General features: G+C 41.0%; 1 protein-coding gene across 2 annotated transcripts, besides 3 other annotated features; it reads right to left on the minus strand.

The window, feature by feature from the left end:
• Positions 229–16,071, minus strand: COX6C (cytochrome c oxidase subunit 6C). 2 transcript variants are annotated; one of them, NM_004374.4, is made up of 4 exons: positions 16,003–16,071; positions 14,272–14,416; positions 9,854–9,982; positions 229–629 (listed from the first exon to the last, which is right to left on the minus strand). In NM_004374.4, exons 2-3 carry the CDS (start codon positions 14,383–14,385, stop codon positions 9,869–9,871), a joined length of 228 nt encoding a protein of 75 aa, NP_004365.1. In that variant the 5' UTR covers positions 14,386–14,416; positions 16,003–16,071; the 3' UTR covers positions 229–629; positions 9,854–9,868. The 2 variants fall into 2 exon arrangements, with proteins under 2 accessions (NP_004365.1, XP_016868509.1); XM_017013020.2 differs by having other exon boundaries at positions 15,807–16,071.
• Positions 14,913–15,561: an enhancer, noted in NCBI's record as "H3K27ac hESC enhancer chr8:100904777-100905425 (GRCh37/hg19 assembly coordinates)". NCBI's record gives its function as "activates a minimal SCP1, AML or CMV promoter by ChIP-STARR-seq in naive H9 embryonic stem cells {active_cell/tissue: H9 hESC(naive)}" and the evidence as "EXISTENCE:reporter gene assay evidence [ECO:0000049][PMID:30033119]".
• Positions 15,562–16,209: an enhancer, noted in NCBI's record as "H3K27ac hESC enhancer chr8:100905426-100906073 (GRCh37/hg19 assembly coordinates)". NCBI's record gives its function as "activates a minimal SCP1, AML or CMV promoter by ChIP-STARR-seq in naive H9 embryonic stem cells {active_cell/tissue: H9 hESC(naive)}" and the evidence as "EXISTENCE:reporter gene assay evidence [ECO:0000049][PMID:30033119]".
• Positions 15,683–15,852: a silencer, noted in NCBI's record as "silent region_19406". NCBI's record gives its function as "represses an Ori minimal core promoter by ATAC-STARR-seq in GM12878 lymphoblastoid cells {active_cell/tissue: GM12878}" and the evidence as "EXISTENCE:reporter gene assay evidence [ECO:0000049][PMID:35858748]".

The following is a 16,479-nucleotide window of genomic DNA, read 5'->3' on the forward strand; positions in this document are numbered from 1 at the left end:
CATGAATTAAAGTCCTAAGAAGACCTCTGAAAAAGTACCATACTCTGCTTGTCATTAGGAGACATTACTCAATTCTAGTTAAGTAACCTTTTCTGGATTAGATATATATCCAAATTCTATTACATACTGTTAGCTTGTTATTAATAAAGCAATACTGAGTAAGAAACCCTACATTTGAATTACCTATTTCAACTATGTGGTGGTGGCACAGCTACCAAATAGTGGCAATGAAGGCCAAGGATAGATTTTATTAGGATTCTATCTCTTCTTAGAGCCCACAGTACAGTAGTCTTACAGGCTCATGAAGAACACTTTTTAATCCATAGCCCAAGACCAAGTAACTGCAATGAAACGGACAAACTATCACAGTTAAAGATGTGCTAGAACAATGAAATTTTAACAAAACACGGAAATCAAGTTAGCTTCATAAACAGTTAAATCCCAAACCAATTCTTATGCTAGTAAGTGCCCTGCATTATCATTAAGAACTGAGAAAGACTTACTGTCCAAAGTATTTGTTAATTGTTTATTTATCAAGAGGAACTATTTCTTAGCCCACATATTCATGTGTCATAGTTCAGGAACACAAGTCAGTGACAAACTTCTAGGTAATTCAACCTGAAGAAATTCTGTGAAGAGAAACACAAAGGCTAAGTTAGAGATAAACACTCTCTCAATACTCACCATCTTTGAGGATCAACTGAGGTCTATTCCTACTAGTAGACTTCACACCTTGATCACTCACCCTCAGCCACAGAAAAAGCACAGTTCAGGCTACCTGGACTCCAAGTTTCACTCTCCTTTACGCTCCTCTAAGCTCCCTGACCACTCTGAATAGCCTCTTTTCCATTTTGGGCATACCACACCTTACTCTCATTGCTTGTGTGCATTGAACAAATTCTGCTTTTTTCCTTCTCAATTCTATGCCCACCACCGCCCCCACCCCCCTGCCATTAACCCTTATAGCCACATACTGTTTCTGTTCCAAGCCATATTTTTGTTCCTGTCTCCAAATATGTTCTCTCATACAGGTTTTTAAACATAATCTTAAAAATGGTAAAAATCTAACAAATTTAAATTAGCCTATTAACATCTTCTGATTATAAAATGCATGCTCACTGTAAATTTTGAAAATTTCAAAGTTAAAGCAGATATGTTAAGATTATAAACAACCATTAATATTTTCTTGATTTTTTTTCCTTAATACACATGGTACCCAACTTATGATGGTTTGACTTACAATTTTTTTGACTTTCTAATGGGTTTTCCAGGGTCTTAAATGCATTTTTGACTTACGATATTCTCAACATATGATAAGGTTTATTGGAATGTAACCCACATATATGTAGTGCAACTGAAATGCTTATTTAGGAACACTGCCTGACAAAATAGCAGTTTCACATTCTCTGTGTCACAGCAAACTCATTTACAAGGCATAAACCCAGACTGAAGTGGCAAAAAGAAACTACATTGTTCTTTTTTGTTAAATATACACATAAGATTCCAGAGTAGGAAGTCTCATCAAGGTACTTCATACATGCTATCAAATCAGTTTAGATGACTTTCCATCAGCACACCAGTCAGTCCTTTTCTAGATAATAGAACTTTAATTCACACTGTCCATGAGGCATAAGGACCTTGTGAATACAACAGACCAAACCAGACCTATGGAAAGACAGCTAGTCACTCGTGGACACCCACCTAACAAACTATACTGTCCCAAATACTTTTTTTTAAAAAAGTGACTTCTAAAAGTGTAACATTCGTAATGCCAATCTAGCAATTAATAGCATAACCTATAAAAATGATTTTGAACATAAAAAGTAGTTTCATGTCAGCAAGATAGACTGTGAAGCTCCAGGCCCCCAAACCCCCACAAAAAATAATGAATAAACATATGGACCAAAAATTTAAAAATGTTTAGCTTTATGAGAACTCTAGAAACCAGTTGAGCAGCAACCAAAGGAACCACCTATCCAAGAAAAAGCCACACTCAAAGTAGCAGGAAATTTCATGGCATTTTTGCTCACTCTTGCCAAATGCCCTCCTCAGTACAATAGTCAGAAGAAAACTACCCTGGCTCTTCCCTCAGGACATAAGGTAAAGAATGAAACTGACCTACAATGTTCTGGTTTGTGTGGAGCTGCCCAAGGGACTGCTTTCTGTCTTGCCTGAATCAGAGTGCTAATGGGAACAATGGCATAGTTTGGATAGGAGGTTGGAAAGAGCTGAAAGCAATGATGGGTACCATGGCATGAGTGAGCTGCAGGGGAACACAGACCTACAGAAACCTGTGGGCAAGAGATCAGAGACAAAAGAATAACAGAACAGCTAAGACTCCAAGAGGAAGCTGGAGGCAAACTCAGGAAAACTAAGAAAAACTGAAAGGCAGCTGTGTATAGGAGGAAACTAAAACTAATGCATATGCACAGGCCCAGGGAAGATGGCATCCCCAGGAAAAGTTTGAGAGGACACCAAGCCTTTATGGTGCGCTAATCAGTGAAGGCCTTTCCATGCATGGAGCCAGTCTGCAAAGGGACAGGTAGCTGGTTTTGCAAATGCCTGAATTTCACAAAAGATCACAAGGCACATAAAGAAATAGGGAAACACGGACGATTGAAAGAAAGAAATCTCCACAAACCAACCCTAAAGAAACAGAGGCTGCTGACTTACTCTATAAAACCTTAAGAACAACTATCTAAAAAATGCTCAATGAGCTAAAGGAGAGTGTGGACAACTAAGCAAAATTAGATAAACAATATATAAACAAGTGAGAATATAAACAAAGAGAAAATTATTTCTAAAAACCAAACACACTGTGGAGCTGAAAAATGTAGTAACTGAATGGGGGGAGAAGGGGTCGGAATCACTAGAGGGATTTAACAGCAGACTCAGGCAGAGGAAAGAATCAGGAAACTTCAAGACAGATCATTTGAAGTTATCAAGTCTGAAGAGCAGGCCGGACATGGTGGCTCATGCCTGTAATCTGGGAGGCCAAGGCAGTAGGATCACCTGAGCCTAGGAGTTCAAGACCAGCCCAGGCAACATGGTGAGACCCCATCTCTATAAAATTAAATTAAATTTTAAAAGTCTGAAGAGAAAAAAAAAAGTAACTAGCTTAAGATATCTGACTATACCAAGCAGACCAATATAGGTATTACCGAGTCCCAGAAGAGAAAAAGGGCAGAGAGCTTAAAAAAACAAACAAAACACCTGTCAATTGAGAATAATACATCCCACAAAACAGTCCTTCAAAAATGAAGGAGAAATTCCCAGATAAAAAAGTCAAAGGAGTTTTACCAATTAGATTTGCCCTACAGAAATGCTAAAGGGAATCCTTCAAGTTGAAACAAAAAGGACACTAGTCAGTAACTCAAAGCCATGTGAAAATATAAAGTTCTCTGGCAAAGAACATAGAAGCTTATATTAAAATTTGGTTTGTGCCAGGTACAGTGGCTCATGCCTGTTATCCCAGGACTTTGGGAGGCCCAGGCAGGCAAATCACTTGAGGTCAGGAGTTCAAGACCAGTCTGGCCAACACGGTGAAATCCCATCTCTACTAAAAATATAAAAATTAGCTGAGCACAGTGGGGTGCATCTGTAATTCAAGCTACTCGGGAGGCTGAGGCATGAGAATTGCTTGAACCCACGAGGCGGAAGTTGCAGTGAGCCGAGATTGCATCACTACATTCCAGCCTGGGTGACAGAGTAAGACTCCATCTCTTAAAAAAAAAAAAAAAATTGGTTTGTAAATTCATTTTTAATTCTTTTATAGGATTTAAAAGACAAAAGCATAAGAAGTAACTATATAGGTCCATGTTAATGGATACATAATATATAAACACATAATGTGTGATATCAGTAACACAGGAAAAGAGGGTGGTGCTGTAAAGGAGTTGAGTTTTTATATGCAATTGAGGTTGTTTTAAGTTTAAAATAAATCGTTCTAACTTTAGCATATTTCATGTAATCCCCATGGTAACCACAAAGAAAATACTGAATATAAAAGGAAAGACTGAAACATGTCACTATAAAATAAAAGAGTGAGGAAAGAAATGAGGGACAAAGAAGCTGTAAGACACATAGAAAACAAAATGGCAATACTGTGTCTTTATCAGTAATTATCTTAAATGTAAATGGATTAAATTCCCCAACCAAAAGACAATGACAGAATGGATTAAAAACCTGGATCCAATTATATGCTGTCTACAAGAGACTCACTGTAGATCTAAGGACACACAAGTTGAAAGTGAACGGGTAGAAAAAGATGTCCCACACATACAGCAACCAGGAGAACAGGGGTAGCTACACTAAATCAGACAAAATAGACCAAGTCTAAAATGTTTCAAGAGACAAAAAAGAACATTCTATAATTTAAAAAGATTAATTCACCAATAAGATCTAGCAATTATAAATACATATGCACCAAACATCAGAGCTCTAAATATATGAAGCAAACACTGACAGAATTGAAGGGAGAAGCAGACAGCTCTACAATAGCAGTAGAGGACTTCAATACTCCACTTTCAATAATTGACAGAACAACTAGATAGAAGGATTAATAAGAAAACATATGACTTGAACAACACTACAAATCAACTGGACTTAACAAAACACTCCAGCTAACAACAGAATACACATTTTTCCCAAGAGAACATGGAACATTCTCCAAGACAAACCATATGTTAGGTCACAAAATAAGTCTTCAATTTTAAAAGACTGGAAATCATACAAAGTATCTTTTCTGATCACAATGGCATGAAACTAGAAATCAAAAGCCAAAGGAAAAGAGGAAAATCCACAAATGTGTTTAAATTAAACAGACTCTTAACAATCAATAAATTAAAAAAGAAATTACAAGGAAATTTTTAAAAAACTGTATCAACCTAAGAACTAGAAAAAGAGGAATTAAACCCAAATGTAGCTGAATAATATTAAACAAAATGACTACAATAGAGAAAAATCAAAGCCAACAGTTAGTTCTTTGAAAAGATCAAATCAACAAACCTTTAGTCAGACTAATAAAAAAAGAGAACCACCAACTAACAGAGGGAACATTACAACTGATTTTACAGATCTAAAAAGGAGTGAGAATGCTATGAACAATTATATGTAAACAAACTGGATGACCTAATGAAATAGAAATACATAACTCAAAAAAAAATTTTGTGGGGGAGTGGGGACAGCATCTCCCTCTGATGCCTAGGCTGGAGTGCAGTGGTACAATCACTGCTCACTGCAGCCTTGACCTCCCAGGCTCAGGTAATCTTCCCAGGTAGCTGGGACTGCAGGCGTGTGCCATCACACCCACATTATTTTTTGTATTTTTTTTGTAGAGACGGGGTTTCGCCATGTTGCCCAGGCTGGTTTCAAACTCCTGGGCTCAAGCAATTCACCTGCTTTGGTCTCCCAAAGTGCTGGGATTACAGGCCTTATGAGCTACCACACCCACTCTAGAAACACAATCTAACCAAGACTGGATCAGGAAAACAATAATCTGAACGTCTATAACTAGTAGGAATTTTTAATCAGTAGCCAAAAACTTCAAAAAACAAGAGTCCAAGACCATATGGTGAATCCTACCAAACTTTTTTGAGACAGGGTCTCATATTCTGTTATCCAGGATGGAGTGCAGTGGTGTGATCATAGCTTATGCAGCCTTAAACTCCTGTGCTCAAGTGAACCTCCTGCCTCAGCCTCCCAAGTAACTGAGACTACAGGCATGTACCACCACACCCAGCTAACTATATATATATCTGTGTGTGTGTATATATATGTGTGTGTGTGTATATATGTATGTGTGTGTGTGTGTGTGTGTATATATATATATATATATTTTTTTTTTGGTAGAGATGGGGTCTTGCCATGTTGCACAGGCTGATCTCTAACTTCTGGATTATAGTGATCCTCCTTTCTCAGCCTCCCAAAGTGCTGGGATTACAGGCATGAGCCACCATGCCCAGCCCTCTATGAAACCAGCACCAATCCTCCTCAAGTTTTTCCAAAAACAGTGAGGAAAAGGGAACATTTCCACATTCATTCTATAAGGCCAGCATTATCCTGATATCAAAGACAAACACACGAGAAAACTATAGGCCAAATCCTTTAACACAGATGCAAAAATCGTCAACAAAACACTAGCAAACCAGATTTGACATCGCATTAAAAGAATCATGTACTATGATTAAGTGGGATTTATCCCTAGGATGCAAGGATAGTTCAACATATGCAAATCAATAGATGTGACATACCACACTGACAGAATGAAGGATAAAAAACACATCTCAAAAAATGCAGAAAAAGTACTTGACAAAATTCAACATCCTTTCATGATCAAAACTATCAACAGAAGGAATGTACTTCAACCCAACAATGGCCAAAAAGGACAAGTCTAGTATACTGAACATGGAAAACGTGAAAGCTTTTCCTCTAATACCTAGAACCAGACAAGGATGCCCGCTCTTGCCACTTCTATTCATTGTAGTACTGGAAGTCCTAGCCAGAGCAATGAGGCAAGAAGGAATAAGCAACATCCAAAAAGGAAAGGAGTAAGTAAAACTATCTGTTTACAGATCATATAATCTTACCTCCAGCAAACCCTAAAGATTTCTAACACACAAGTGTCAGAATACATGAATTCTACTAAGTTGGAGGATACAAAAATCAGCTCTTTCTACACACCAACAATGAAGGAAATAAAGGAATGCCTAATAAAGGAAATTAAGAAAATAATTCTATTTATAATAGCACCAAAAATAATACTTAGGAATGTATTTAATCAGGAATATGAAAGACTTAAACACTGACCTAGATGAAACAGATATATACCTGTATACTGCTAAAAAAATTAGCAAATCTCATTCATGCAATCCCCATGGTAACCACAAAGAAAATACAGAATATACACATAAGGAAGTAAGAAGGAAACTGAAACATGTCACTATAAAATAAAGGAAAAGTACGGAAAGAAATGTGTGTCCTTGGACACATTGTTTTGATTATAGTAGTCTCCTTTTATCCAAGGTGATATGTTTCAAGACCCTTCCAGTGAATTACTGAAACTATGGATGGTACCAAACCCTATACAGCTACGTTTTTTCCTATATATACACATACCTATAATAAAGCTTAACTCATAAATTAGGCATAGTAAGAGAGTAGCAACACTAAAAGAAATTAAAGATGCAAACTACTGCTAAAAGAAATTAAAGATACAAATAAGAGGAAAGACATCCTGTGTTCATGGATTGGAATACTTAATATTGTTACGATGTCCATACTACCAAAGTAATCTACAGATTTAATGCAATCCCTATCAAAATCCCAATGGCATTTTTACAGAAATAGAAAAATCCATCCTAAAATTCACAGACTCTTAAGGAACCACAAATAGCTAGAGCACCCTCCGGGTGGGGTGAAAGAAAGAACAAAGCTAGAGGACTCACACTTACTGATTTTAAAGCATACTACAAAGCTACAGTGTAGCAGTCATCCCTTATTTGTGGTTTAACCTTCCACCGCTTTAGTTCTACCCACAGTCAACTGTGGTTCAAAAACAGGTGAGTACAGTACAGCAAGATATTGAGAGATCACATTCACCTTTTATTACTATACACTACAATTGTTCTATTTTGTTATTGTTGCTCATCTCTTACTATGTCTAATTTATGAGTTAAACGTCATCATAGGTATGTACGTACACGAAAAACAACATAATATATACAGGGTTTGGTACTATCTGTGGTTTCAAGAATCCACTAGAGGGGTCTTGAAACATATCTTAGATAAAACGGACTACTGTAATCAAAACAGTGTAGTACTGCCCCGAAGACAGACATACAGACTAAAGAAATAGCCCAGAAATAAACTCTCGCATTTAGAGTCAAATGATTTCACCAAGGTACCAAGACCACTCCATGGAAGAGGACAATCTTAAATGATTTCGGGAAAACTGGATACCACATGTAAAAGAATACAGTTGGATCTTTACACCCTACACAAAAATTCAAGTGAATCAAAGATCTAAACATAAGAGCTAAAACTATAAAAGTCTTAGAAGAACACATAAAAAAGACTTCATGACATTGGATTTGGCAATGATTTATTGAATATGACACTAAAAGCACACAGAACAAAAATAAAAATAAATTCGACATCAAAATTTCTGTGCATCAAGGGACACAACAGAGTGAAAAGGCAACCTATGAAATGGGAGAAAATATTTACAAATCATATCTGATAAGGGGTTAATATCCAGAATATATACAGAACAACTCAACCAATAAACAAAAAACCAAATTTGAAAATGAGCAGAACTGAATAAACATTTCTCCAAAGATAACATACAAATGGCCAATAAGTACATGAAAAGATGCTCAAGAACACAAATAATCAGGGAAATGCAAATCAAAACCACAATGATACCACCTCATACCTATTAGGATGGCTACTATCAAAAAATACCAAAATTATGCCAGGCACAGTGGCTCACGCCTGTAATCCCAACACTTTGGGAGGCCAAGGTGGACGGATCGCCTGAGCCCAGGAATTCAAGCACAGCCCAGGTAATATGGTGAAACCCTGTCTCTACTAAAAATAAAGAAGTTAGCCAGGTGTGGTGGCACATGCCTATAGTGCCAGCTTCTTGGGAGGCTGAGGCAGGAAGATCCCTTGAGCCTGGGAGGTTGAGGCTGCAGTGAGCCATGATCGCACTACAGCACTACGGCCTGGGTGACAGAGGGAGACCCTGTTAAAAAAAAAATTAACAAGTGTTGGGGAGGATGGAAAGAGTGTAAAATGGTGCAGCCACTATGGAAAAGGGTATGGCAGTTTCTTAAGAAATTAAAAATCATATGATCCAGGAATTCCACTTTTGAATATACCCCAAAAGAATTGATAGCAAGGCCTTGAAGGAATATTTGCATGCCTAGGTTCACAGCATCACTCACAACAATCAAAAAGTGGAAGCAACCCAAGCATCTACTGATGGATGAATGGATAACAATGTGACACAACTAAAATAGATCATTCAGCTTTAAAAAGAAAGGAAATTCTGACACATGCTGTAACATGGATGAACCTTGAGTACACTACGCTAAGTGAAATAAGCCAGTCACAAGAAAACAAATACTGTGTGATTCTACTTATGAGATGCCTGGGGTAGCCAAATTCTTAGAAAGTAACACAGTGGCTGCCAGGGTCTGAGTGGAGGTGTGAATGGGTTGCTTAATGGATATAGGGTTTCAATTCTGTAAGATGACGAGTTCTGGAGACTGGTTGCACAACAATGTGAATGAACTTAACACTACTAAACTGTACAATTAAAAATGGTTAAGATGGCAAATTTTATATTATAGATGCTCCTTAACTTACCATCAGGTTACATTCTGATAAAACCATCATAAGTTTAAAATATCTTAAGTTGAAAATGCATTTAATACACCTAACTTACATCATAGCTTAGCCTTCCCTACCTTAAATGTGCTCAGAACACTTATGTTAGCCTACAGCTGAAGAAAATCATCTAACACAAAGCCTAGCTTATAATAAAACACTGAGTATCTCACACAACACTACAGAGTACAGCATCAGCTGTTTACCCTTGTGATTATGTTTCTGACTGGGGGATGTGGTCATTGGTGCTCCCCCACATCACAAAAGTATTGTGCCACTTATTGCTCATGTGGACAAAGATCAAAATTCAAAGTATGGTTTCTACCAAATGTGTATCACTTCCACACCATCGTAAAGTCAAAAAATCTTAAGTCTAAACATTGTGAGGGACAGTCACCTGTATTTGCATTTTACCACAATTAGAAATTTTTTTTTAAGTAACTTCAAATAACCATATTACCTTTATATTCCAAGATTACTTTACACTCTGAAAGATACCAGCCTTCCTCATCTCCTCAAAATCTTTCATGACATCGTAGTTTCTGTAGAAATCTGCGTATGCCTTCTTTCTTTGATCAGCCACACGAAACTAAAAAGCAACCATCCATTAGAGTTTATTTTTCAGATTACTGGAAATTAGATTCCAGATTATAATATATAAAGACAAGGTAGAACACATGTTTTTGTTCACCCTTTAATTTAAACCCTACATTTCCTAAGGGGTGGAGGTGGTGACAGATAAAAAGGAAGACAAAGTCTAAGAAACTGCTAAATTTGCAAAGAAAAGAATGGGGAATAAGGTGTCTATTTTGTTTTGTTCGAGGTTTCCGTACACAAAGGGTGGGTGGGGTTCAACAGAGAAAGAAAAAATGAAGATTCAAGACAAAAATGGAAAGTTTAAGTGACTTATTATTTTTTTTAAAGATGGGGTCTCGCCTGTAGTCCCAGCTACTCGGGAGGCTGAGGCAGGAGAATGGCGTGAACCCGGGAGACGGAGGTTGCAGTGAGCCGAGATCTCACCACTGCACTCCAGCCTGGGGGACAGAGCGAGACTCTGTCTCAAAAAAATAAAAAATAAAAAAAAATAAAAAATAAAAAAAAAATAAAAAATAAAAAAGATGGGGTCTCCCTCTGCAGAAATACACAGAAATCATGCTACTTGATGGAGTAACGCAGTAAGAATCCTTTACCTGACCAGTTTTACTGCTTCACTTCTATTTGAATTCCCAATTTCTTCCCAGTAATAAAATCAAGAGGCAGAGGTCGGGCGTGGTGGCTCATGCCTACAATCCCAGCACTTTGGGAGGCCAAGGGGGGCGAATCACAAGGTCAGGAATTGGAGACCAGCCTGGCCAACATGATGAAACCCCATCTCTACTAAAAATACAAAAATTAGCCAGGCATGGTGGTGGGCACCTGTAATCCCAGCTACTTGGGAGGCTGAGGCAGGAGAATTGCTTGAACCTGGGAGGCCTCGGAGGGTGCAGTGAGCCGAGATGGTGACGCTGCACTCTAGCCTGGGTGACAGAGCAAGACTCCGTCTTGAAAAAATTAAAATAAAAAGAGGCAGAAGCACAAGTGCTGGGGGCCATCATTACATGTACGGTTAATTTGGACTCTCCCTACCTCACTTAGTCATCCATCTGACAGAGAGACAGCCAAGGGTCCTAGCAAAAACCCACCTTCAAGCCTAAAACAGCCTGAAGGCTGAAAGGCCAGACTGTTGGACCCAGATCCCACGACCCTGAGGGAGAGCTGCACATTTGCCCACCCTTTCAGGACTGATTCTTTTTGAGTAATGGCCACAGGCACACTGGGGGAACAGGGTGGAACCAGGAGAAGCTGCACCTTGTGCAGTGGGGAGGAGCCTAGTCTCTTCAGCTCCTGTGTGGTAGCCTAGTATTCAATCTGTGAGGTGGGGGCCTGTTAGCAGGACCCCCTCTTGCTTTGCTGAGAGTCTGTTTTCTTTTTTCCTTTTCACCCAATAAATTCAGCCCTCCTCACCCTTCAATGTTTCCATGTGCCTAATTCCTCCTGGTCATGACACAAGAACCCAAATTTAGCTAAACTAAGGAGCAAAAATTCTGCATCACATCCATCCCTTCTACAAACATTTACTTCATGCCCACTATATATGCCAGGCAGCAGGAATCTCAAGGACCAAAAGACTTTGTGTGCTTGTCTCTCCAAAGAGTCCCAAAGCATAGGTCCACTTAGTGCTCCCACTCAGTGTTCCATCTCCTCTTTGCTCTCCCAGTTCTCCCTAACTTTTTTTTTTGAGACAAAGTCTGGCTCTATCGCCCAGCCTGGAGTGCAGCGGCACGATCTCGGCTCACTGCAACCTCCACCTCCCAATTTTTTTTTTTTTTTTTTGAGACAGAGTCTCGCTCTTGTTGCCCAGGCTGGAGTGTAATGGTGCGAACTCGGCTCACTGTAACCTCCCCTTCCTGGGTTCAAGCAATTCTCCTGCCTCAGCCTGCCGAGCAGCTGGGATTACAGGTGCCCGACACCACGCCCGGCTAATTTTTTTGTATTTTTAGTAGAGATGGGGTTTCACCATGTAGGCCAGGCTGGTCTCGAACTCCTGACCTCAGGTGATCTGCCCGCCTCAGCCTCCCAAAGTGCTGGGATAACTGGCATGAGCCACTGTACCTGGCCTCGCCTCCCAATCTTGGCTGACACCTCTGCCTCCCAGGCTAAAGCCAACCTCCCACCTCAACTTCCTGAGTAGCTAGGGCCACAGGCACATCATGTATTTTTGTATTTTTAGAAGAAATGCGACCGGGTGCGGTGGCTCACGCCTATAATCCCAGCACTTTGGGAGGCCGAGGCGGGCGGATCATGAGGTCAGGAGATGGGAGACCATCCTGGCTAACACGGTGAAACCCCGTCTCTACTAAAAAATACACAAAAAATTAGCCGGGTGTGGTGGCGGACGCCTGTAGTCCCAGCTACTCAGGAGGCTGAGGCAGGAGAATGGCGTGAACCCGGGAGGCGGAGCTTGCACTGAGCTGAGTTCACGCCACTGCACTCCAGCATGGGCAACAGAGTGAGACTCCATCTCAAAAAAACAAAAAAAAAAAGAAGAAAGGCCCAGCTAATTTTTGTATTTTAGTAGAGACGTAGTTTCTCCATATCGCCCAGGCTGGTCTTGAACTCGTGAGCTCAAGCAATCCGCCCACCTCAGCTTCCCAAAGTGCCAGGATTACAGGCATGAGACACCAGACCCAGCCCCTCTCCCTAACTTGCAAGGCTCAAATTCCACCTCCTCTATCAAATAGCTATGACCCACAATAACTGTGAACCACAACATCCCCCAAAACCATTCTTTCAGTTATGTTCTATCTTGCAATGTCTTCTAATTTTTTTCACCTCCCCAACTTGACTCTAAGTTCTTTAAGAACAGAGATTTAGCTACATGCCTTTTGTGTCCTCCAAAGCACTTGAAACTCTACATTACCCAACACTGTACTGAATTTTATACACTGCCTCTTATTCAACAGGTCCTTTTAATAACCTATTTGTGTGTCAGGCACCCAACAACAGGGTGCCACAGTAAACAAAAGACATGGTACCTGCCTTAATGAGGCTCACAGCCCAGTAAAGAACATAAACACTAAACAAAAATTAAATACAAAGAGTTATAAAAGCAAAGCTCTGAATTCTTTCATGGGGTATTATGACAAGCATGATAAACATATACATATTATCAAAAACATTTTTACGGAAAAGTTGTAAATGTGCAGCCTTTGATTAAAAATAAAGGGCATAACAAAATCCACATTAGGCAGAGTGTTAAAACGCAATTCTGTGACAATTACTCAAGGTGTCAAACAGAACTATAATCGGCCCACCATTCCTGCACGTTCCACACTCATGGATTCAAAATAATAAAAAATGCTACAAAATTAAAAATACAATATAAACTATTGACATAGCATTTACATTGCATTAGGCATTATAAGTAGTCCAGAGATGATTTAAAATATCGTCAGGGCTCCTGAACCAATTCCCCATGGATAGAGGGGCAGCTATGCTGCCTTCCCAGCCCCTCTGCATACTAGCTTCTGTAATGGGTTGAATTGTGTTTGACCAAAACTCATGTGTTTAAGTCCTAACTCTCAGTACCTCAGAATCTAAACGTTTTTTGGAAATAAGGGCTTTATAACTAAGTTAAAATGAGGCCTTTAGGGTGGGCCCTAATCCAATATGAGTGATGTTCTTTTAAGAAATTCAGCAGGCCAGGTGTGGTGGCTCATGCCTGTAATCCCAGCACTTTAGCAGGCCAAGGCAGGTGAATCCCTTGAGCCCAGGAGTTCAAGACCAGCCTGAACAACGTGGCCATCTCTGAAACCTCATCTCTACAAAAAATATAAAAATTAGCCAGTTCCGGTGGTGTGTACCTGCAGTCCCAGGTACCGGGAGACAGAGTAAGACCCTGTTTCAAAGAAAGAAAAAGGAAAGAAGGAAAGAAAATGAAAAGAAGGGCAGAAAAAGGAAAGGAAGGAAAGGTAAAGGAAAAGAAAGGGAAAGAAGTTCAGCTACAGATATATGCCCACAGAGGACCCTGTGAAGACAAAGGGAGCCATCTACAAGCCAACAGAGGCCTCAGAAGATATCAACCCTGCCAACAGATTTCTAGCCTCCAGAACTGCGAGCAAATTTAAGGCACCCAGTCTGTGGTTCTTTGTTACGGCATTCCAGCAAACTAACAAGCTTCATTTAAAGATGGAGGACAAGCTATAGTTCCTGTCACACTGAGGTGAGTGCAGAAAGGGTTAGAAAGAAACACATTACAAGGGGGAGTTTCTTTAAAAGATTTTTCAACCAAAAACACATACTTTATGACCTTCGGCACAAAGTAAAAAACATACATACCTTATACAAAGCTGCAACCCCCAGGGATAGCACGAATGCTACAGCCATATGATTTCGCAGACGCCTGGCCAGAAGGCCACGCATCCGAGGTTTTGGCAAAACTTCGGGAGCCATGGTAGTTACTGTCCTTGATACGTATGCTAACCTTAAGAGATTCAGAAAATATGATTAAGTACAGAGTTTATTTAAGCCACAAACTTGAGAATGGCCACCTGGAAGCATTGATTGGAGCTGCCCTGAATATACACTCCGATTAGCAGCAGTTACAAATGAATGTTTTTCTTTTTTGGCAGAAACAGGGTCTAGCTATGCTCCCCAGGCTGGTCTTAAACTCCTGCCCTCAAGTGATCATCCTACCTCGTCCTCCCAAAGTGCTGGGATTCCGGCCTACAAGTGAGTTAAGAAAAAATGAGAGGCAATTCCTAAACTGTTTATCAAAAATTTACATTAAAATAACATAAGCTATTGACTGACTAAACGCTGTCCTTTATATCACAAATTCAGGAATAAGATTTGGGTTGAGACATGGGTGAGGGGCGGCACTGAAGTCCAATACTCAGGTCTCTGCGTCCTGCATACCTCATGTAGCTCTCACTACTCTGAGCTTTTTTTCCCTTTCTCGGGTAAAATAATAAAAGAAAAACTCAGAAAAGATATCAAAAGGAATTCTCATGCATAGTACATTTTACTACCTAGAGAGGCACAGCACGACAGTGGATGGATTCCTCCCACAAAGCCTAAGCTGTCTCTTGGCTTAGCCTGTTTCATCTTCCCCCCGCCCCCCATATACTGAGCGACCACCCTAAATAAACGCGACAAACTGCGGCACACTAGTAATGGACGAGCAAAGGCAACAAAAATCTTTCCAACAACAAGAAAAATAAGCAGTAGCTCCGCATTGGTAATTAACGATTGCAAACCCATTTATGCAACACTTTCTCTTCTAAAAATTTTCTGTCCACTCGTTAAACCTTCGCGACAACCCTGTCAGATCATGAGGCAGGTGTTTTCCACGGTCACACGGTATACCATTAAAACCTGGACGGGAACGCGGCAAATACCATGAGGGCCCAAATTCCCTAACTGCTCCTTTGCCCAGCCTCACCTAAAGACCTAAGGGGCCTAAAAACTTTTGCGTCCCTGCTGGCCTTCAGCTAACGCGGCCGGGGGTAGGATGGGAAGCCGTGGGGCAAGGGAGGTTGCAGGAAGCCCATCCTTCCCCTCCTGCGGCAGGTACGGTGACCCTCCTCCAGTTTTCCAGCTCTAATTTAAAACGCTGCCACACAGCGAGCGACGCTGCCAGCTGCTTCGCCTACACTAACCCTTGCGCCTCACGACCAGCTGCATTAGAAACCACCACCCCTTTTCTCACGGGAGAAACACCGGGGCCAGATAGGTCAAATGACCTCACCAAGGTCACAATGGCTGTGAAAAAGCGCAGCGGGTACCAGCCCCGGGCCAGCTCACTCCGAAGCCAGCTGGGTTCTCGAGGGTCCCGCAGCCCACCCGGCTTCGGTGGGGCCGTCGCAACCCACCCCGGTCCGTGGTCCGCCCGCCGCCCTCCCTCAGGCCGCAGCGGAAGCGTGAGAGAGTAGATGCGGGAGAGGCCTGAAGCTGCACCACGGCGGAGACACACAGTCACGACTAAATCCGAGGCAGAGAGAAAGCGGGAGGGTGCCGTTGTGACAACCCGCAGTGTCGGGGTAGGGATGCAAAAGGGACCGGACTCACCTCAACACCAACGTCCTTCCTGACTAAAGGAAAAACGAACCGTGCTGTAGCCGCGCGCAGGCGCAGAATAAGAGTGCACAGCGAGAACGCGGCGACGGTAGCCGAAGGAGTTCAAAAGACCTCTAGTGCGCCCACCGCAGGTGACAGCCGAAGTTCATTTCGTGGTCTGCTTCTTTCCTGTGTGACCTTGCAAAACGGGCTTGACCTCCTTATTTATCGACCTCTTTATCTTCTTAGTAAATTGAAGATATTAGTCGTACTCATACACAGAGTCCCAAACCATGTGCACAAACCGACATTTTAATTATAACCAACCTTACGCGAATAACCGTTTGGCTTGGGTAAAAGTGAAAAAGCTGACTTCTAGGAGCTCACAGCCCAGAAGATGAAAAAGACAAACAGATTAATACCGATCCCATGCAGTGGGCACTACCACAGAGACGTGGCCCAGCTACTGCAGAAGCAATTCTCTACCTG

Source organism: Homo sapiens, chromosome 8 (assembly GCF_000001405.40).
Source record: "Homo sapiens chromosome 8, GRCh38.p14 Primary Assembly".
NCBI classification, from domain to species: Eukaryota; Metazoa; Chordata; class Mammalia; order Primates; family Hominidae; genus Homo; species Homo sapiens.